Source organism: Homo sapiens, chromosome 1 (assembly GCF_000001405.40).
Source record: "Homo sapiens chromosome 1, GRCh38.p14 Primary Assembly".
In the NCBI taxonomy this organism is placed as follows: Eukaryota; Metazoa; Chordata; class Mammalia; order Primates; family Hominidae; genus Homo; species Homo sapiens.
The window spans coordinates 36,275,730-36,297,664 of record NC_000001.11 but is presented as its reverse complement, the minus strand read 5'-3'; the positions used below and the strand labels follow the sequence as shown (position 1 = coordinate 36,297,664).

Sequence of the window (21,935 nt, the reverse complement as noted above, 5' to 3'; positions counted from 1 at the left end):
AAGACCAGACTGGCCAACATGGTGAAACTCCATCTCTAAATACAAAAAATTAGCTGGGCGTGGTAGTGGGCACCTGTAATCCCAGCTACTCAGGAGGCTGAGGCAGGAGAATTGCTTGAACCCGCGAGGCGGAGGTTGCAGTGAGCTGAGATTGCGCCACTGCACTCTAGCCTAGGCAACAGAGCAAGACTCCATCTCAAAAAAAAAAAAAAAAAAAAAATGCTTGCCAGCTAAAGTTCAAAATCAGCAGAAGTGTTGCTTCTTACCAGAAGGTATGGGGCTTCAACTGTGCTACTTTTCGTGACACATGATTAAAAAGTCATGGAACATTCAAAAACGTAAACAGAAACATCAGGACATAGGCATGAATGTTGCCACACAAAGTTCAACAATGCCACCTTTGTTTAAGGAGTACCTGGAACACCTCTCTTGGAACTGTCTGTAAAACTAGTTTAAAAGGCACTTAAGATCAACAATCATGTACTATCTAGTTCCACCCTGTTTCTTTGACTAAACAGTGTTATTACTTGACAATGACTTTGGGCCATTTCTAAAATACAACTTCCCCATGAAAATGTGTGATGAAAAAGGTACATCTAAAACTGCAAAAGGAATTCCCAAATGATTCTAATGATTCTCCACACCATCCCTGTGGTCAATTTAACAGATTAACTTCTCTCATGAAGCCTTCTTTGGACAAAGATCACACTATTTTGATGTAGAAATTGTTTTCAAACTAGGGACCCTACCTGACATTTACATGGATTAAAAGAAGAAACAGGTTGCTATAATTACTAACCCTAAACTCCTCTGATTTGAAAGTTCTGGTGTATAGCCCAAAGGGGACAGACAAGAAACTTAAGAGTCTGGAAGGGGTAACAGGGGCTTACGTACTTCTGTTTCTTTGATCCTTTATGAGTTTTCTCTGTTTTTTCAGCTGACCTTTCCCTTGAGTGACTGGAGTCTCGGGAATCCACTGATTCTCTCGATTTACCTCGTTTAAGATCTCTCTCCTTATGTTTTTTACGACGTTCAATATCAAGGCGGAGATCAACAGGATCATCTTTGTATTTTCCCTCAGCCTATCAAAAGATAAGCCAAAATTAAGGTTTCTGGGATTCAGAGCTGTCAACTCAACCATCCCACAAACTGTGGTTTTTACTCCAATGGAGGGGTGCAGAGGAAGCACTGGGAAATGTGAGGCATCTCACCCAAGCTTGGAAGGGATGCAGGATGTCCCACAGAAGTTACTCCATAAGGATCCCTCACAGAACCCACGCCAGTCCTCCAAAACAATGATGCTGGCCTTCTGAAAATGCTATGCATTGATCTCACTTTGTTTCCTTTCTGGCCCAGTAATGACTCTGGCTAGTTTAGAAGTTGAGAAGGCTGGCCAGGTGCAGTGGCTCACGCCTGTAATCCCAGAACTTTGGGAGGCCGAGGCAGGCGGATCACTTGAGCTCAGGAGTTCAAGACCAGCATGGGCAACAACCAAAACCCTGTTCTCTACTAAAAATACAAAAATCAGCCGAGCAAGGTGGCGTGTGCCTGTAATCCCAGCTACTAGGGAGGCTAAAGCAGAAGAATCGCTTAAACCCAGGAGGTGGAGGTTGCAGTGAGCTGAGATCGCACCACTGCACTCCATCCTGGCCAATAGAACAAGACTATCTCTCAAAAAAAAAAAAAAAAAAAAAAAAAAAAAAAAAAAAAGTTGAGAAGGCTAAAATTAGCTCTGGAAAAGTAGGTGGTTGGGCTGGCTCAGGATTAGCCACCACTAAGAGTAGAAAAGCTCACCTTCCCCTACCTATACTGTAGTATCCACCCATGGCTTATCCTCCACTTGGAATTATCTCTGAGTACTGAGTCCAAAGAGAGACAATGGAAGACTTAAGCAGCCTTCAAAACCCTGAGTTATACTGACAAATTTCTCTAGAAAGGGAATATCAAAAACTATGGGGAATTCATAAACTGGTATTATCAGGTGAAAGGAAAGGGAAAGGAAGGGGAAGGGGGAAAGAAACCAAAGAAACAGGGAGAAAGGGAGGAAGGGAGGGAAGAAGGAAGGGAGGGAGGAAGGAAGGGAGGAGGGAAGGAAGGAAGGAAGGAAGGAAGGAAGGAAAAAACTTCTCTGCTGGCTTCCTAAGCAGTTCAGCTATGAAGGTATGTTTTGCAGCAGCAACAGCACACCTGCTCAGACCACTGCAGCAAAGGCTTTCAACAATTCTTGGGAAACTCGGTGGGGCAAAGGTGCATGGTAGTTCCGGGACATCCCACACTAGGATTTGTCTCATGGAGGTAACTCAGGGAGGAAGAAATGAGCAGTTCATTCTGCATTAATAGTTTACATATGTGAACTACTAAACTTTTAAAAAAAAAAGTTTAACAGCAGGAGTGGCAGAAACTAGGTTTATTCTTTTTTTTTTTTTTCCTTTTTTTTTTTTGAGACAGAGTTTCACTCTTGTTGCCCTGGCTGGAGTACAATGGCGGGATCTTGGCTCATTGCAACCTCCACCTCCCAGGTTCAAGTGATTCTCCTGCCTCAGCCTCCCAGGTAGCTGGGATTACAGGCATGCACTACCACACCCGGCTAATTTTGTATTTTTAGTAGAGACGGGGTTTCACCATGTAGGTCAGGCTGGTGTCAAACTCTCGACCTCAGGTGATCCACCCACCTCGGCCTCCCAAAGTGCTGGGATTACAGGCTTGAGCCACCTTGCCCGGCCGTTTATTGTTTTATCACTTAATTTGTTTCCTAACAGAGGGAACTGGGCCTCTGCATCCTCCAAAGAGCAAAAAAAGACAAAAAGACAAATGCAACACTGCTCCCAGGGGTAACACCTCCAATGAGTTGGCTTTTTTGGGGCATGGAGGACGAGATCTCTTCTGATGTTTTAAAGAAAACCTTGGGTTTTACATGGCTAGTACAAAGCTGGAGAAGGGGTACTCGGAGGAGGAAAGACGGGTGGGAGAGAAGAGAGACTGCCCAGAAGCGCCTCTCATCACATTCAACCAACAAAACAAGTATTTTTTAGAAAAGGTTTCAGCAGCATTGGAATAACCATCTGTTATTTTAAATTTCAACTGTATATGTGAATGAAGATCAATAAATACTAAGATTTTTTTAAAGCCCAATTTAGTTATTTCACAGTAACAGATTGTATACAAGCTTTAACCTCTTAACAGTGTTTACGTGCACATCATTGCAAATGTAGCTGGGCCATCAAAGTAATCTTTAGCTTTAAAGTAACAGTAATTGACAGATGATAGATATGGTACAATGTTAGGAAAAAAAACTGGACCAGCTGTTTAAAAACAGTCTACTTAAGTTAAGACATGAATATTTCACTCTTCTCTGACATGCATGTCTTTCTGAAATCATGGTTGGAAATAGTGCATGTATACAGTTGATTTGATAATACTTACAAGCAGAAAAATATCACAAAAAGTTTCTTCTCTCATCATGGGCACTTGTTCCAAAACTCCTCTCTTTTTTTTCTCAAGCTCACCTCAATAGACTTTGGGGTCATTTACCATATTCTAACCACTTCACAAAGGTTGTTGATACATTTAATAAAAATTAACCCTTTGTAGTTCATTTTTAGAATTATGCCCATCCTTAAAAGAAAAACACAAACTTAAGTAGAGAGTAATTTAAACAAACACATTTCTGTCAAGTTCATGCCCAACGCACTCATTTTGTTGGAATTACTGATCAAATCAACAGTTCACCTTGTAGCCAGGTTCCCGGGGACTTTTCATTTCATCATGAGCCAAACCATGTTTTCTGAATGTACTGGGGGAAATGTCTATTCTCCTAAAATTGAAAATACAAAACGATATAGTATTCCATTGTGTGAATATGATACTGGTAATATTCTAGCTCTTAAGTTGGCTAATAGATTCACAGGCATTATTTTTCCTTACGTTTCATGACTTATGTATCTATTACTTTTACTCTTATATACTTATACTCTCCCATAGGCAGACACACACACACACACACACACACACACACACACACACAGTCCCAGGTTCCCACAGTGTAACAGAAGTTAGAGGTTTTTGTTCTCTCCTGGTTTTGCTACACACAGAAAGATGGACTCACCCATAGCCTCAAAGATAAGGCCAACTTTGTTTCTAGTCCCTATCCACTGAACTGACTCCCACAACCAAATGTAATAGTCTTTAAACCTGCTGGGCTTTAAAATTCTGTGAGATAATCCTACAAGCTCCCGCCTCTAGCCCCCAGGCAAATTCTTCCAGAAGAATCCAACTACCCATGATTAAACTACCATGAAATATTAATATACAGGCTTACCTAAAGAAACTAGCATTAGGCTGGGCGCAGTGGCTCACGCCTGTAATCCCAGCACTTTGGGAGGCTGAGGCGGGCAGGTCACCTGAGGTTGAGAGTTCAAGACCAGACTGGCCAACATGGTGAAACCCTGTCTCTACTAAAAATACAAAAATCAGCTGGGCATGGTGGCACACGTTTGTAATCCCAGGTACTTGGGAGGCTAAGGCATGAGAATTGCTTGAACCTGGGAGGCAGAGGTTGCAGTGAGCCGAGATTGCATCACTGCACTCCAGCCTGGGTGGCAGAGCAACACTCCATCTCAAAAAAAAAAAAAAAAAAGACAAGAAAAGAAACTAGCATTTACTCTACCTACAGAAACTCACAGTAATTTCAGGCAACATTTGCCAGCTTCCAAGAATATAGGAGTTAATCTATGTCAAGAGAGCTGTTTTCCTCAGGCCCAATGTGAGAGACTGTTGTCCCAAAGCATGTCCTGTACACTCTCAAATATAAATGCCTATAGCTCTCTTAGAGTCTGAAGGATGTTACTGTAAATTTTGTATTAAAGGTGCATTAGCAGCAGAATTTAACAAGGTGAGTTTAATGTCTGATACAAAGTCTTTTATTACAACCTCCAGTATAAGGCCATGGTCCTTACCTGTGTATCTCTGGGCTTTTCTTGTTTTTGGCTGCCTCCTGCTCAGTTCCTCTCTTTAGGTATTTAGTAAAGCGTTCATGTAATGTCATTCCTGAGGACCCAAAGTGATGCTCTGTTGGGATTAAAAGAAACACATTATGGGCCAGGCATGGTGGCTCAAGCCTATAATCCCACCACTTTCGGAGGCCGAGGTGGGCAGATCACGAGGTCAAGAGATCGAGACCATCCTGGCTAACACGGTGAAACCCCGTCTCTACTAAAAATACAAAAAACTAGTGGGCATGGTGGCGGGCGCCTGTAGTCCCAGCTACTCCGGAGGCTGAGGCAGAAGAATGTCGTGAACCCAGGAGGCCGAATTTGCAGTGAGCTGAGATCCCGCCACTGCACTCCAGCCTGGGCAACAGAGCAAGACTCCGTCTCAAAAAAAAAAAAAAAAAAAAAAAAAGAAACAAAGAAACACATTATGTTACCAAAGGCAGACACAATGTTTTAACTCTTTTGCAGGAACCCGTAACCACAGAGATGCACCTAAAGTAGTTAAATCCACACAACAAACATACTGAGAAGAGGAAGGAAAAATGGCTGGTTCAAACACGGTCCCATATTGGGCACTAGATTTCCACTGTAGCTCCCATGTCTTAGGACAGAGAAACTTGAAGCTTATTCTCCTCAGAAGCACAGCACCAACTCTTGCTTGAGTTTATATTCAGATGGAACCTGCAACTGGCCCAACCCAGCTTCTCCATCACTTCTCTTAGTCATTCCCTAACTTGCCCAACCCCATTTGCCCAGGGGGATGATAGAATACTTTGGGGAAGAAATTCACACCAGAAGGTCCATAAGAGATCACTTAGAGGGGAGAAGACAGAGATGCTAGAAAAGTCATTTTGCTATTGGCTTCTCAGTTTTCAACCATTTTAAATCTTTGTGTTAAGGATTTCACCTGTTCTCTTGGTCACAGGTTACTAGCATTTCAAAATGCTAAGCTCTGCAATTAAAATATGGAAACTGCTTCTTGAATGGAATTTCCTTCAAGCCAGCCCCTAGCTTCAAAGGCCCTTTAGATGAGATACAAGGTCCCCCAAAACTCCTTATCCACCCATCATTCATCCTTCTTCTAAGTGTGGAACACGAGCCTGAAGCAGGCCAGGGTCTGGACTCACCTTTAACATGGTGAACAATGGTCACTATATGTTGGGCAAACAGTTCTGAGGGGCTACGCTGAGACTGAGCTGATTGTATGTGCTGGAAAATGGAACGAAACTCCTGTTCCTTTTTGTTGCTATGGACTAGATCTCGGCAAAGCTTGCGTTCCTGAGCCAATAAGCCACTGGGTCTGAAAAAGAAATATGGGGAGGCCCAATTAGAACACAATACACAGGAAGAACATTAAAACCATAAAAATACTTTTTTGAAGAGTTTTAAATCTATCTATAAACTTCTTTTCTTCCTACCGAAGTTGAAAGTAACCCTCAGTGCACTGTAACTATGGAAAAGTATATACAAAATCTCTCTCTTCTCTTTCTTACTGGAATCTTCAAGTGGAGTGAAGTGTTAAACCTTAGTCACTGCTGGTTTTAACACACCCAACAAATGAGAAAGTATTTTAAAAGATAAACTACAGCTGGGTGCAGTGGCTCACACTTGTAATCTCAACACTTTGGGAGGCAGAGACAGGAGCATCACTTGAGCCCAGGAGTTCAAGACTCCATTTCAATCAATCAATCAATAAAAAGATCAGCTAGCATGACCAGCCAAGGCCATTCAGGGAGGTGATGTCATGAAGCGGGAGTGGGGTGTGGCTGGAATGCTGTTCACATAGACTTCCAGCTGCCTGAGTAGTTTACACCAAGTAAAAAACCAGTCAGCCTTGGCCTCCCAACTCTTTCCTAAAGTTCAGGGGACAAGGGGTAGATGTATTGCCTTCCTTAACCCTAAAATTGTGGCCAGGCACGGTGGCTCATGCCTGTAATCCCAGCACTTTGGGAGGCTAAGGCAGGCAGATCACCTGAAGTCAGGGGTTCAAGATCAGCCTGGCCAACATGGTGTAACCCAGACTCTACTAACAATACAAAAATTAGCCAGGTGTGGTGGCAGGTGCGTGTAATCCCAACTACTGGGGAGGCTAAGGCAGGAGAATCGCTTGAACCTGAGAAGCAGAGGTTGCAGTGAGTTGAGAGTGCACCACTGCACGCCAGCCTGGGTGACAGAGAGAGATTCTGGGCTGGGTGCGGTGCTCACGCCTGTAATCCCAGCACTTTGGGAGGCCAAGGTGGGCGGATCACGAGGTCAGGAGATCGAGACCATCCTGGCTAACACGGTGAAACCCCATCTCTACTAAAAATACAAGAAATTAGCTGGGCGTGGAGGCCTGTGGTCCCAGCTACTCGGGAGGCTGAGGCAGGAGAATGGCGTGAACCCAGGAGGCGGAGCTTGCGGTGAGTGGAGATCGCGCCACTGCACTCCAGCCTGGGTGACAGAGGGAGACCCCGTCTCAAAAAAAAAAAGAAGAGAGAGAGAGAGACTATCTCAAAAATACAATACAATACAATAAAATTGCTACGTTATTTGATGGGGAAGGGCCGTACTATAGACTTTGGCAACCCAGCTAGGAACGAAGAAGTGGATCCAGGATGGCTTCACAGGCAAAGCTATCTTAAATACAAGAAACAGCATTGGACTTGGGGGTGCAGTGATGAACAGAGAGTGAGCCAGTCACTAAGGACTGAAGAGATACTTCATCACCCCAGGGATACTGCCCCCCTTCAAAAGCACACAATCACTCTGTGACACATACTCTCCAGTGAACACAGGTGGACATGAAAGTATCACCACTGAAGCTTAAGACAGAAGGGGGAATACAGCAGAATGTCCCCAGGGAGAAAGGCTAGGCGACACCACTTAGGCCACTAAAGCACTGAGGATCAAGAAGGAGCATATCTCACCGTGCGAGGTCCTCATCAAAAGAGTCCATCCGGACATTGACCTGTGCCTCTCGAGTAATGGAAAAGGAAGACTTTCCTGTGGGAAAATCTCCTTTCGCTCCCAGCTTGTCTCGGCTCTCAGAGGTCTTTCTTGGGGGAGGTGATGAGCTTTTCTCCTGGACTGCTTTATAAGCAGTCACTCGGAAATTCTTCTCAGGCACAAAGCCCCTGTGCCCACCTTCGCTTCTCTTGCCCCGATCTTCCTTTTTGGATCTCTCTGGGAAAGACTCCTCCTCCAGCTCCTCTGTTTTTCTCTGCTTTTCCTTCCCTGGAGGTGCATATACCAGGCCCTCCCATTTGCCTGACTTCTCCTCCTCCTGGTTTTTGTTTGCACCTATGACTTTAGACATAAATTTGGGTTCATCATCAAACTCAGATTCCTTTCTTCCCTTAGCTTTGTCCTTATCTTGATCATCCATCTCCTCCTTGTGGAAGTCAGCCATCTTCTTCTCAAAGTCATCTCGGAGCTTATACCTTTTGGGAGACTGACTGCCCCGAAAAGGCTTCTCAGAATCAGTTTTGGGAGCAAAAGAATCAGATTTCATTTTTCCATCACCCAAGCCTGTGTCAGAGAAGCTCCCTTTCTCTTTTATTTTTTCTTTATCGGTATTTGTTTGTTTCTGTTCCTTATCTTTTCCATTCTCTGTCTTCTGCTCTTCTAGATACCTATTTATAAAAACACAAGAGAGAGACACAAGAGGCTTCTTAACAGCATGCTCTAAAATAGTGCCTTACCGTTTTTGGTTTTTGATTCTCTGAAAAAAACATGTCTTATGGATTCCTGTATTACCAAAGGACTTTCTAGGCGGTTACTTCGTAATAATTTCTGAAAACTGCCATTCACAGTTCTATGAACTTGCCAATTAAGAGAAAAATATATGATCCATGGAGTTGTGTCTTACAAAAGCAACCAAAGAGAACAACAAAAGTTATTTTTAGGATACTCAAAAACAAAAACAAAAACCTACTTACCTGTAATGTGATCTAGGGCAAAAAATAACTTAAGGTCTTACCCAACCTTCACTCAGTCACTTAAAATCTGCTTTCAGCAAAGTTAACATAGAATGTTCAACCTTGGACTGTTTTGCTTTTATACAACTCACATTTGGAAATACAAGTCTAAAAAGAGACTTCAAATTTGCTTCAAGTCACCTAGAAGATCTAAATACGAAATATACTGTGAACACAAATAAAAACAAAATACATGTTAATGGGGGAGAGGGTGACAGCAGCAAAAATCATCATTCTCTTTCTTATGGAAAAGCAGAGCTCATGCTCAAGTCTTCTAAAGAGATTCACAGTCCTGGCATGGAACAAAACTTATGTTTTAAAATAGACTTACTTGGGAGCTACACTATGAGGACCCAAAGGCATAAGAATGACATAATGAACTTTGGGAACTCAAGGAGAAGGATGGGAGGGGGCAAGGATAAAAAACTACACACTGGGTACAGTGTACACTGCTCAGGTGATGGGTGCACCAAAACCTCAGAAATCACCATTAACAAACTTATCCATGTAACCAAACACCACCTATTCGCCCAAAAACCTATTGAAATAAATAAATAAATAAATAAAATAAAACAGACTTACTGAAGGCAAGTACAGATTCAAAACATCTCATCTGTACCATTAATGCAGAAAGCTTAATCAAGTCAAAGTCGTGTTAATACAGCCAAGAAGAATCAAGGGATCAAAAAACATGCTAAATACGATAAAAGAAAAAAAAAGGGGGAGCCACTTGCTGGGTTAGTCCCTCTTGACCACAACCTGGTCCCAGTGCAACTTCCCTGTAACCTCTCTGCCATCCCAATCCATCCAACCATACAAACAAAGATTCATGTTCCAACTCACCGTGTCCCCCAGGGGAGAAAGACGGAAGCACTGTCATGTCCTCTCCTAACACGCAGCCGTGTTGGCTTCTACTGGGACATACACCCACCTTGTGGTTTTAAAACAAGGCCTTCCTGGACTATGCCTTGGCCTTTCCCATTCTGCCCAGTCTCCTCAACTGGAGGGTATTGAGGGTGCAGCTCTTCACCATGATAGGCTGATGCAGATCGAACATAGTAGATGGTGGGTGCTAGAGGGTCTAAGAGCTCCAATGGCCATTCATTTTGGCAAAGACCATACTTTTTTTTGATAGCTGACCCACAAATCTCTACTGTTCTTTGGCTTACATTGGTAGAATCCAAGGCAAATTTTAAATGTGAAAACATCATTGCAGAGTAGTCTAAAGAAAGTTTATGCTGCAATACAAATTCAGGAAGGTAGGAAAGCTAGAGTTAACCTAAAGGTTTCCTTGGGTGATGCTTTTAATGTTTACTAACGAAAAGTCTAGGAAATAGGGATTACCTTTTACCATTAATCAGAGCTCTAACTTAGATCACATTACAATTAAACTGCCAGCTAGTGAGATAAAAACACAACCAGGCAGGGGAAATGAGATACTTGCCTCTTTGTATAGGCTGCTCCTCCTGAAGCAGCACTCTCCTCCTTCTGAGATGAGCCATATGTGGAGCCAGTGGATGGTGGACTCTTACCCACAGGGCTCTTTTTGGATGGACTCAGGGACCCAGAACCATGGTCGAACTGACCTTGGTGTGTCCCAGACTGATACCCGGCACCACTCGGCAGAGTTGAGCCCATCTGGGATGTGCTGGAAAGTGGAGGACTAGGTTTTGGCACGGGGCTAGGACGGGGTGACCGCCGCCTCACCACCACAGACTGGAGGGGGCTTTTGAGAGCTGGGCTTCGCTCCCGAGGACTCAGCTCAGAAACTGCTGAGGCCCGTGATGCAGAACCAGTGCCGTAGGTGGCATCTGGCCATGGCTTCGAGCTCTCAGATGCTTTTGTATCTTGAGAGGTGCCTCCAGAGAATGTCTGCTCCTTGGCCTCATCTCCCTGGTTATCCCCGGCAGCCTGAGATGGCCGGCTATCCTTAGAAGAGGACTTTTTCTCCTTTGCAGACTTGCGCTTAGAAGATTCAACTCGGCTATGGTTGGAGGAAGAACGGGAGGATGAGGAGCGCCTTGACCGGTCAGAAGACGACTTATCAGAGTTTCTAGAATGGCTCCTGGACCTTGGTGAAGGGGACCTTCTCTTTGGGGACCGGGATCTTGAACGGCCTCGACGAGGACTGTATGCTTGCCGGTAATTCTGCCAATTTGAGCGGTAGTTTCCATAGCCTCCTCGGTTATATTGGCCCCATGGATAAAAGCCTCTGTTACGCCCACGGAAATAATAGGGCCTTCTATAGCCTCTGTTGTGACCTCGGAAATCCCGATTCTGATATACTCTTGGGTGGTTTCTTTCTCTGTTATGAGCTGGAGAATATGATCTGGAACGAGACCTAGAACTGGAATGGAAAGGAAAGAGACAAATGTTTGAATTTTTGACACAAGCATTTTTATTCAAGAAAAATCTGTTCTGAAATCCCTGCCCTTATGTGTCATTCACTTTCAGTTTTGTTTTCAAAGCAAGGGCACAAATATTTAATCCCACTACGTATGGCCCTTACTAAGTACAAAAACATGGATAAGAATCATTTGAACAAGTGATGAAACACAGGTCACTTCATTCATATTGCAGCACATTTAAAATGGAGGTGTACTTCTACAGTGACTGAAAAACTATCAACATTTTCTTAAGGTAGTAAACCACACAAAGACCATTTTAATATACCATAATAATAGCTTACAGTTTCACAGGCACGGGGATTTTAACAGGGCTCCAGGTCATTGGAAACGAGAGAAAAACTGTGAGCTGTGGTACCTAGACAGGTACTCTGACCCCTATCTACAATGTGGTAACACTCCACACCCTATCCTAGTCAGCTCTCTCCCCCTTGTGCGGGATGAACTTCTTAAGATACCACTAAGGCTTGGGATCGTTAAAAGTATAGTTACAACAGGTACACACCAAAGAAAACTTGGGAGAATGCATCTGCTCAAAGCTTAAAAGAACTTACTAAAATCACATAAGCAAAACATAAAATATTGTTTTTTAAAATGGAAATGGTCTGACTACTTAGGTCATATTTCTGTGGCTGAGCTACATGATCTTAACTAGGTGCCACAAGAGGGCACTATCGGACCATAAAGTACCCAAGGACGCATGAAGTTAGCAAAGAGTAACTAAAAAACACCCCCACCCCGGTGTGCACAGAAGGCTAGTGTTGTGTTCTTCTCCATTTAACAATATATAACTCTGGTAGAGCAAGATGAATTTCCAGAACCACAGAGACTTGATAGTAACCTAACTGTACATTCCTGAGTGTCAGGCTTGTCAATGATGAGAAACTTTGTTTCCATCAAAAAGCCAAAAATTACGTATGTTGGTGTAAAAACCCATTGGGGTTCTTGGATCCACTTTTCCTATCTACTATGATATAGATCATTGACATTAACCACTACTCCTAAGCAGCTGGCTACAAATAAGTAAAATTTACTAGAAAACTCTTTCAAATAATATTTTCTTTACATATAGAATAAAAACTCTTCAGTTAATCAGCAGGCTTTCTCATATCTGACTGGGAACAGATGCATTTTTGTTTTTTCCAAATAACTCCAGTTAGCAAATATACTAGTTTCTTTTCAGGATTTAACAACTAAACAAAACAGTATTTTTAAGAAGAAAGTACATTCAATTTAATCTAAAGATAAAGTGGGATTGGTTTTCCACTATTTATTGCCCACTGTACTCAGATTTTTTTATCTACACCATGAATAAGAGCAACTGGCAAAGATATATCTTACTGCTGGTTGTTATTGTAATTAAGTACAATTAAAAAAAAACTTACCTTCCACACTTTTCATTTGAAAACAGTAACAATATAAGAAAAGAAGGGAGAGGCAGATGCAGATTATGAAAGTGAATACAACCCGATTAAAGGGCTATGCTTGAGGGAGGTGATCCACCACCAGCACTAAGGAGGGTTTAATTCATGTTCCCATCCTCACAGGCTACTGCTGCTTCTGTTACCAATTACTAGTGAGGGCCCTGGGCATACTGCATCCAAAACTCACAGTCATTGCACAGATGCAGGAAAATGAGTCTCTGCAGATTGCAAATGAAGTTATTTAAGAGATGTCACTTAAAAGGATACAGTCTGTGAAATACAAGGAAATAATCAATTTTCTCCAATTCTGTAGAACTCAGCAGTTAGTTAATTTAAAGGCATGGTTTCTCAAACTCTCTGGATAGATACTTTCCTTGCAGGAGAGGGAAAACAAAAGAAAAAACCATGAAACAGATAAGCCAGAAATAAAAACTGAACATCCAGTGGCAAATTTATCTGTTTCTAAAAACAGAGAAGTCAGATTACAATCAATTATAAAAGCATACTTTCTAGTGGAGAAATTCCTCCAGAAAAGTCTCTTCTAGGTATATGATAGCATGTAAAGTGTCTCTAGACCTACCCCAGCACATACTGCCTTCCTAAAATATTTTTTCCTCATTTGCCAAGTCAGTGAGCAAGTGCCAAATGATTTGCAGAACAAGGAGAAAAGAACTGCCCGGAATTCCAGCTGTCATAAATACTTCAGAGTTGGTTAACATTTTTCAATTCAATTTTGTCTCTCAGTTTTGGTTGCATAGCCTCTTGGTGTTGAACCAATTATTTAGTTTCTTCTAGTTACTAGATTAAATTTTAAAAAGGTATCTTTCATAACCAAATGAGCTAAAACTGAGGTTTAAACTCCCTAAATCAAGATTCTGGGTACAGGGTAGGAGTTACTAAGAGTCTTGCTGGTCCCATGGCTTTAAAAGCAATTTCCTGAGGTAAATAAATTTAGGGTTTCCCTTTTCAATATTTATGCATACCTGCTTTTTCAGGCTGGCTTCTCATAGACTCCATTTAATATCTACCTTGTTTTTGTTAAATGGTAAAAAAACAAAACTACTAATCCTTTGTTTAATAGACCCCTTAGAAGTACTATAGGGCTCTGGAAATCATCAAGAGTAAAAGTTTAATCACTGACTTCTGAGGTTTATTTTAAATGTCGTAATCAATTCATCTAAGACAAGGATTCTAGATACTCATCTGAAATAAACAGCTAATCAATTCATCTAAGACAAGGATTCTAGATACTCATCTGAAATAAACAGCAGGGGTTCCAAGTGTCAAACATGACAAATCATCTCCTTGCTAATGTACTTGTGGGAAAAAGAATGAAAATGTACAAAGATTCCTCTTCAGCACACCAATTTAAATACACCAATATTTCCCAAACTCACATATAGAAACTTGTTATTTACTGAAAGCTTCTTATCTATCCACAAAAGAAAGTTTAAACACTTTTAAAGAATGAAAAATCCAACTCACAACACACCAAGAGAGGAAAGACGCTGGAGGTTTGGCATCCTATTCCAAGACATAATTAAAATAGGGAAATCCACCTGAAGGTGTGAAAACTGACTGAATTAGGAAATACTGGCAATAAATTCAAAAGAACTGTGCTCATATTCAGTAAGATAAAGTGATGTTTTCAATAGCGATTTTTAAAAAGTTTTAAGATACATTTACTAAACAGATGCAGCTTGTTAGTAATTGGCACATTGTATACAAATTACTCCTGATAAGTTTCTGTAAGTTTATTTTAGTGAGTTGAAGCTTCTTTTCCTTGCCATGTTGTTCATATTATTAATCCTCTTAGCTATCCTTTCTTTGCAGTGATGCACATAAACTTTGGTTCAAGCCTTCAAAAATAATTTGGTGAAAAATAATCAGCTATAGAGATTTGAAGCAAGCAGCTCAAATAAAAATAAAATGTTCTTTCTTCCAAAGTGGGTGGGAAATACTATGTGCTGGCAGAGGAAAGGAATCAGGCAATCAGCATGGCAGTCAAAGCTGATCTGGATTTGTAGTTTAAAGAGACCTGGAATATCTTATAGCCCAACCCTGCACCTCAAGCCAACCCCCCAGTCCATTTGACACTCACAGGAAAAGTCTAACAAAAGATCTTCAAACATCCACATCGACTGATGCAATGATTATCTCAATATACAAAGTCACACCCCCTTACCTCAGCCTGCGCTTCCTTGAACGAGAGAGAGATCGGCTTCGGGACCGAGACTTCGAAAATGAACGAGAACGAGATCTTGATGCAGATCTTGAGCGAGAAGAGCGAGATCCAGACTTGGATTTGTTTGTTTTTGACATCTCTGAAGAGAGGATCACTTTTCAATTACACCTAATGTAAGAAAATGCATTAGAACAAATGAGTGAGTTCCTTTGCAAATGTGAACCTCTTTGGACATTTTAGAAACACATTTCTTTTAATCTGGGCAACTTGAGAAGACCCCATATCTACAAAAAAAAAAAAAAAATTTTTTTTTAATTAGCCAGTCACAGTGGTGCGTTCCTGTAGTCCTAGCTATTTGAGAGGCTAAGACAGGAGGGAGTGCAAAGTTACAGTGAGCTGTGATCACACCTCTGCACTGCAGCTCTGGAGGAAAGAGCAATACCCTATCTCCAAAAAAAAAAAAAAGAGAGAAAGTGGCTGAGCACGGTGGCTCACGCCTGTAATCCCAGTGCACTGGGAGGCCAAGGTAGGAGGAGGACTGCTTAAGTCCAGGTGTTCAAGACTAGCCTGGGCAACATAGCAATATCCCGTGTCTACAAAGTTAAAAAAAAAATTTTTTTTTTCTTGAGATAGGAGTTTTGCTTTTGTTGCCCAGGCTAGAGTGCAATGGCTTAATCTCAGCTCACCACAACCTCCGCCTCCCGGGTTCAAGCAATTCTCCTGCCTCAGCCTCCCAAGTAGCTGGGATTACAAGCATGGGCCACCATGCCCGGCTAATTTTTTTGTATTTTTAGTAGAGACAGGGTTTCTCCTTGTTGGTAAGGCTGGTCTCGAACTCCCGACCTCAGGTAATCTGCCCGGCTCGGCCTCCCAAAGTGCTGGGATTACAGGCGTGAGCCACCGTGCCTGGCCTACAAAGTAAAAACTTTTAAAATTAGCTGGATGTAGTGGTAAGGGCCTGTAGTCCTAGCTACTCCAGAGGCTAAGGTGGGAATGGCCTGAGGCCAGGATTTTGAGACCAGCCTAAGCAACATAGGAAGATTCCCCCACCTCTACAAAAAAAACAACTGTTTAAATAAAATAAACTTTAAAAACAGAAAGTAACATTAAAAAAAAAAAAAAGATGAAATGACTGATTTTTAAAAACCACTCTGCTCTTTCATCAAAAGGAATTTCTTAGTAGTACAAATCCCAAACAGACCAAGCCACAGCAGCAAATGGAAAACCTGACATGTAACCCTAACTGGGTAATACTGTAAGAGATGACCAAGAATGAGGGTGCTTATTAATTTTGGTGCATGCAGTCTTTTCTCAGTAAGCAAAGAAGCTTTGAGACTAAAGTCAGCTGTTAATAAAAGTAATGAGGAGATGTGAGACAGGTTTCCTAGTTCCAAGAGAAGAAACCGCATGCAATTTAACTTAGTTACAGAGTATGTGGCACATCTAGTCATAAAGAACCATCAATTTGTTCCAGCTCTTTATTACAAAAGAGTCAGCTGGGGGCGGTGGCTCACGCCTGTAATCCCAGCACTTTGGGAGGCTGAGGTGGGCTGATCACCTGAGATCAGGAGTTCAAGACCAGCGTGGCCAACATGGTGAAACCCCATCTCTACTAAAAGTAGTGGCGGGTGCCTGTAATCCCAGCTACTCAGGAAGCTGAGACAGGAGAATCTCTCGAACCCAGGAGGCAGAGGTTACAGCGAGCCAAGATCGCGCCATTGCACTCCAGCCTGGACGACAAGAGCAAAACTCCGTCTCAAAAAAAAAAATAAATAAAAATAAAGAGTCAACTTTCTTTCAGGGTCATTTTCCCACCAAGAAACAAATAGTCTTTTTCCTTTTTTCCCCCTCCAGGAAAGAAGAGCGCCTCTAAGTTGCCCTGAGAGGTTAACGCCTGGTCTACAAGGTATACTTCTCTCCTTTATACTCTATTAGCGCCTTGGACATCTTCCCAGCAGTAAAAACTTTAAGTGCTAAAGTACATGTCTATCAAAGACAGTAAGAGTAAGGAATCTATCAAAGATCACAAAGCTAATTAATAGCCAAACCAGGCCCAAACTCCAGGGCCTATTCTATCACACTTTGCTGCCTAGCGAGATTCTGCCAAGTAATGCTGCCTCTTGTCTGTGAAGGGAAAATAATAATCAAATATTTCTCCCCTCCTACCCCTCAGAATTTGAAGATCTCAGCTCAAAAGCTATCTCCTCAGAGGTTCACCCTGACCACCCAGTCAAAAATAGCCACCAGTCATTCTCTAGGTCCAGTATGTATCTTATTTGTTTCTTCAGAGCAAAACTCAGTATGTGAAACTATCTTGTTTACTTGTTATTCTGTCTTTAATTAGAATGTAAGCTCTATAACAACAGAAACCTCATCTTTCTTTATTTAGTGCTGTATACCCAACGCCCAGAATAGCAAATGCTTAACCAGTGTTTTTATTAATTCATTTTATCCTTGAGGAGGGCATTTTTAATCCCGTTTTACAGATAAGAATTTTGAGGCATAGAGAAAGTAATTAACTTGCCCAAGGTCATACTGCCAAAATCCAAACCACGATCGACTTGCTCATTCATTAATTCATTCAGATGGGGTCTCCCTGTGTTGCCCAGGCTGGTCTCAAACTTCTAAGATCAATGGATCCTCCTGCCCTGGCCTCCCAAAGTGCTAGGATTACATGCGTGAGCCACCCCGCCCAGCCTCACCGTTGGCACATTTAACCACTATGTTATATTGCCTGTCTAGAGCAGTGTCTGGCATACAAGGGGTACTAACGAACTTATGGAACCAATGAATGCCAAGTGTCCACCCTTACCAAGTTTACAATCTGATAAAGGTGACAAGATATAGATAAACTGAAAGGTAGTATTTATTTTTGTTATATTCAAATAAAATACTTGAATTTCAAGAACTTTCCAAAAGACAAAAAACGCCTAGGAAGCTGCTATAGCTCCATCTCACAGGGGAAACAAGCAAAATCTTAGAGACATAATTTAGAGGAGAACTGAGAAACTAATAAGAAGTCAGAGACAAAAGGTGATGAGTAAAAGACTGCTAGATGAGGATGCCAAGAACCCACGGTTTTAATCCTGCCAAAAAGATCACACTGTTGCAAGCTCTAGCAAGGTCAAAGATATTTCAATTTGGAGCTATTTTTGGCAGTAGTGTCACTATATGAAGTCAGAATAAAGGAGTAAGTTATTCAGGAGTGGGAGGTGGAGGTATAAACAAACAATTTACAATGAGAATATTAAAAATAAAAATACATTTTGTTTTTTTGGTTGTTCTTAAGCATTATTTTGGGGTTCTCTGGGTTCACTCTTGCCAAATGGAGACCTTTATTTCTGTCACAAGTTCAGGGATATCTATCTATGTCTGCCTAGTAACAGACTGTCTAACATTCTATTTTAACTTGGGTCAGAAATAAAAATCCATCCAGATGACTTACACAACAGGTGGATATTATCAGACTTTAAAAGAATAAAAAAGGGCAACAAGTTAGTGGAAAAGGAAACACTCATTTCAACACTCAGAAACTAGAAAACTAAGAAGCTAATTTTCATTAAGATGAAGAAAAGCTGCCATGTAAATACAAACAGAGCCAAACTTAACAATTCTGCACATATTAAGCTTACCAGAATTGACAAGTGCACTCAAGAGCTGCAATACTGTGACGCCCCCCGACTCCCATTCCCGGAGCCTCCTCTTTAACATGAATTGAAACTAATTATTTTATTTATGTATTTATTTTATTTTATTTTTATTTATTTATTTTTTTTTGAGACAGAGTTTTGCTCTTGTTGCTCAGGCTAGAGTGCAATGGCATGATCTCAGCTCACTGCAACCTCTGCCACCTGGGTTCAAGTGATTCTCCTGCCTCAGCTTCCCAAGTAGCTGGAATTACAGGCGCCCACCACCATGCCCAGCTAATTTTTTGTACTTTTAGTAAAGACGGGGTTTCACTGTGTTAGCCAGGATGGTCTCGATCTCCTGACTTCGTGATCCGCCCACCTCGGCCTCCCAAAGTGCTGGGATTACATGCGTGATCCACCACGCCTGGCACAAGGACAGAATTTCAAACAGCCTTTTGAATTGATTTCAGATATAATTCTGTCACTAGGAGAAAGAATTTGTTTTCAAACTGTTCTGCAGAGACACTTGAGAGGGTAGCACAAGCCCATCATCCTTTTCAGAAGCCCAAGCCTTCTTGACTCAAACTACTTGTCTAATTACCAAGCAGATCAATGGTCCTTGATCTTGAAAACAGATGCGTTTTACTTAAAACACAATTGTGTTTAAAAAAATTTATCCTTACATTTACGGTCAAAACCCGATTGAAGCCTGGTGCAGTGACTCACGCCTGTAATCTTAGTACTTTGGGAGGCCGAGGCAGGCACATCACCTGGGGTCAGCAGTTTGAGACCAGCCTGGCCAACATGGCAAAACCCCGTCTCTACTAAAAATACAAAAATTAGTCAAATGTGGTGGCAGGCACCTGTAATCCCAGCTACTCAGAAGGCTGAGGCAGGGAGAATTACTTGAACCCAGGAGGTGGAAGTTGCAGTGAGCGAAGATCACGCCAGTGCACTCCAGCCTGGGCAACAAGGCAGGACTCCGTCTTAAAAAAAAAAAAAAAAAAAAGGGGGGCTGGGCTCACGACCGTAACCCCACTCAGCACTTTGAGAGGCCAAGGCAGGTGGATCACCTGAGGTCAGGAGTTCAAGACCAGCCCAGCAAACATGGTTAAACCCCCTCTCTACTAAAAAAAATACTAAAATTAGCTGGGTGTGGCAGCAGGAACCTGTAATCCCAGCTACTTGGGAGGCTGAGGCAGGAGAATCGACTGAACCTGGGGGGCAGAGGTGGCAGTGAGCCTAGATTGTGCCATTGCGATCCAGCTTGGGTGACAAAAGCTGAATTCCGTCTCAAAATAATAATCATAATAATTTTTTAAAAAACCCAATTGACCATACATCTAAAAACTCATTTGGTTTTTCACCCTTTTCAAAAACCAACTGACCATAAATTTAAGGCCAGGCATGGTGGTGCATGCCCACAGTCCCAGCTACTTGGGAGACTTGAGGCAGGAGGATTGCTTGAGCCTGGGAGGTTGAAGATGCAGTGAGCCATGTTTGTGCCACTGCACTCCAGCCTGGGTGACAAAGCACGTTATCTGTCTCCAAAATAAAAAATAAATAAATGTGAGCCAGGCGTGGTGGTTCACACTTGTAATCCCAGCACGTTGGGAGACTGAAGTGGGTGGATCACCTGAGGTCAGGAGTTCGAGACCAGCCTGACCAACATGGCGAAACCCTATCTCTACTAAATATACAAAAAGTAGCCAGGTGTGGTGGCAGCTGCCTGTACACCACTGCACTCCAGCCTGGGTGACAGAGCAAGACTCCATCTCAAAAAATAAAATAAAATAAATGTGAGGCTGGGTGCAGTGGCTGATGCCTGCAATCCCAGCACTTTGGGAGGCAGAGGTGGGCAGATCTCCTGAGGTCAGGAGTTCGAGATCAGCCTGGTCAACATGGTGAAACCCTATCTCTACTAAAAATACAAAAATTAGCCAGGCGTGGTGGCAGGCGCCTGTAATCCCAGCTACTCAGGAGGCTGAGGCAGGAGAATCACTTGAACCTGGGAGGCGGAGGTTGCAGTGAGTCAAGACCGTGCCATTACACTCCAGCCTGGGCAATAAGCATGAAACTCCATCTCAAAACATAAGAATAAAATAAAAATTAAAAAAAGTGTGGATACAAGTCCCTTATTGGATGTATGACTTGCAAGTATTTTCTCCCATTTTGTAGGTTTTCTTTTCACTTTTTTTCTTTATTTATGTTTTTTGAGATGGAGTCTCCCTCTATTTCCCAGGCTAGAGTGCAGTGGCGTGATCTCGGCTCACTGCAGCCTCCACCTCCCCGGTTCAAGTGATTCTCTTGCCTCAGCCTCTCGAGTAGCTGGGATTACATTGGTGCAACACCACACCCAGCTCATTTTTGTATTTTTAATAGAGACGGGGTTTCACCATGTTGATCAGGCTGGTCTCAAACTCCTGACCTCAGGTGATCTGCCTGTCTCAGCCTCCCAAAGTGCTGGGATTACAGGCATGAGCCTCCATGCCCAGCTTTACACTTTCTTGATGCTGTCCTTTGAAGCACCTTTTTTTTTTTTTTTTTTGAGACAGAGTCTGGCTCTGTTGCCCAGGCTGGAGTGCAGTGGCACGATCTCAGCTCACTGCAACCTCCGCCTCCCGGGTTCACACCATTCTCCTGCCTCAGCCTCCCGAGTAGCTGGGACTACAGGCACCCACCACCACAGCTGGCTAATTTTTTGTATTTTTAGTAGAAACGGGGTTTCACCGTGTTAGCCAGGATGGTCTCAATCTTCTGACCTCATGACCCGCCTGCCTGGCCTCCCAAAGTGCTGGGATTACAGGTGTGAGCCACCACACCCAGCCTTGAAGCACATTTTTTTTTTTTTTTTACTCTGCTGAACTCTGTTTTTCTTTTGTTGCTTGTACTTTGTGTGACATGTCTAAGCAGGTTTTGTCTAACCCAAGGTCACAAAGATTTACTCCCAGGTTTTCTTGTAAGGGTTTTCTAGTTTTAGCACTATGTAGGTCTATGATCCATTATGATTTAATTTTTATGAATGTTGTCAAGTATGGGTCCAACTTTATTTAGAGACAGGGTTTCACTCTGTCACTCAGGTTGGAATGCAGTAGTGCAATCTCAACTCACTGCAGCCTCAGTTTCCTGGGCTCAAGTGATCCGCCCACCCCAGTCTCCTGAGTAGCAGAGACTACAGGCATGTGTCACCATGCCTGGCTAATATTTGTATTTTGTAGAGACGGGGTCTCCCCATGTTGTCCAGACTGGTCTGGAACTCCTGGGCTCAAGCAATCCACCCACCTCGGCCTCCCAAGTGTTGGGATTACAGGCATGAGCCACCACACCTAGTCCAACTTTGTT

At 42.5% G+C, this 21,935-nt stretch overlaps 1 protein-coding gene across 20 annotated transcripts in view; it reads right to left on the bottom strand.

The window, feature by feature from the left end:
- Positions 1-21,935, bottom strand: part of THRAP3 (thyroid hormone receptor associated protein 3) — a 97,721-nt gene that overhangs the window by 7,693 nt on the left and 68,093 nt on the right. For 17 of the 20 annotated variants that reach the window (XM_047436227.1, XM_047436226.1, XM_047436246.1 and 14 more), the window contains 7 exons: positions 14,965-15,132; positions 10,395-11,297; positions 7,901-8,605; positions 6,119-6,291; positions 4,956-5,067; positions 3,730-3,814; positions 895-1,082 (listed from right to left, as the gene is read on the bottom strand). In XM_047436227.1, coding sequence (XP_047292183.1) covers positions 895-1,082; positions 3,730-3,814; positions 4,956-5,067; positions 6,119-6,291; positions 7,901-8,605; positions 10,395-11,297; positions 14,965-15,101 — 2,303 coding nt within the window. In that variant the 5' untranslated portion in view covers positions 15,102-15,132. Of the gene's footprint in view, positions 1-894; positions 1,083-3,423; positions 3,616-3,729; positions 3,815-4,955; positions 5,068-6,118; positions 6,292-7,900; positions 8,606-9,793; positions 10,189-10,394; positions 11,298-14,964; positions 15,133-21,935 lie in introns of those variants that run through there. The other 3 variants (XR_007065302.1, XR_007065301.1, XM_047436271.1) reach the window with 2 other exon arrangements.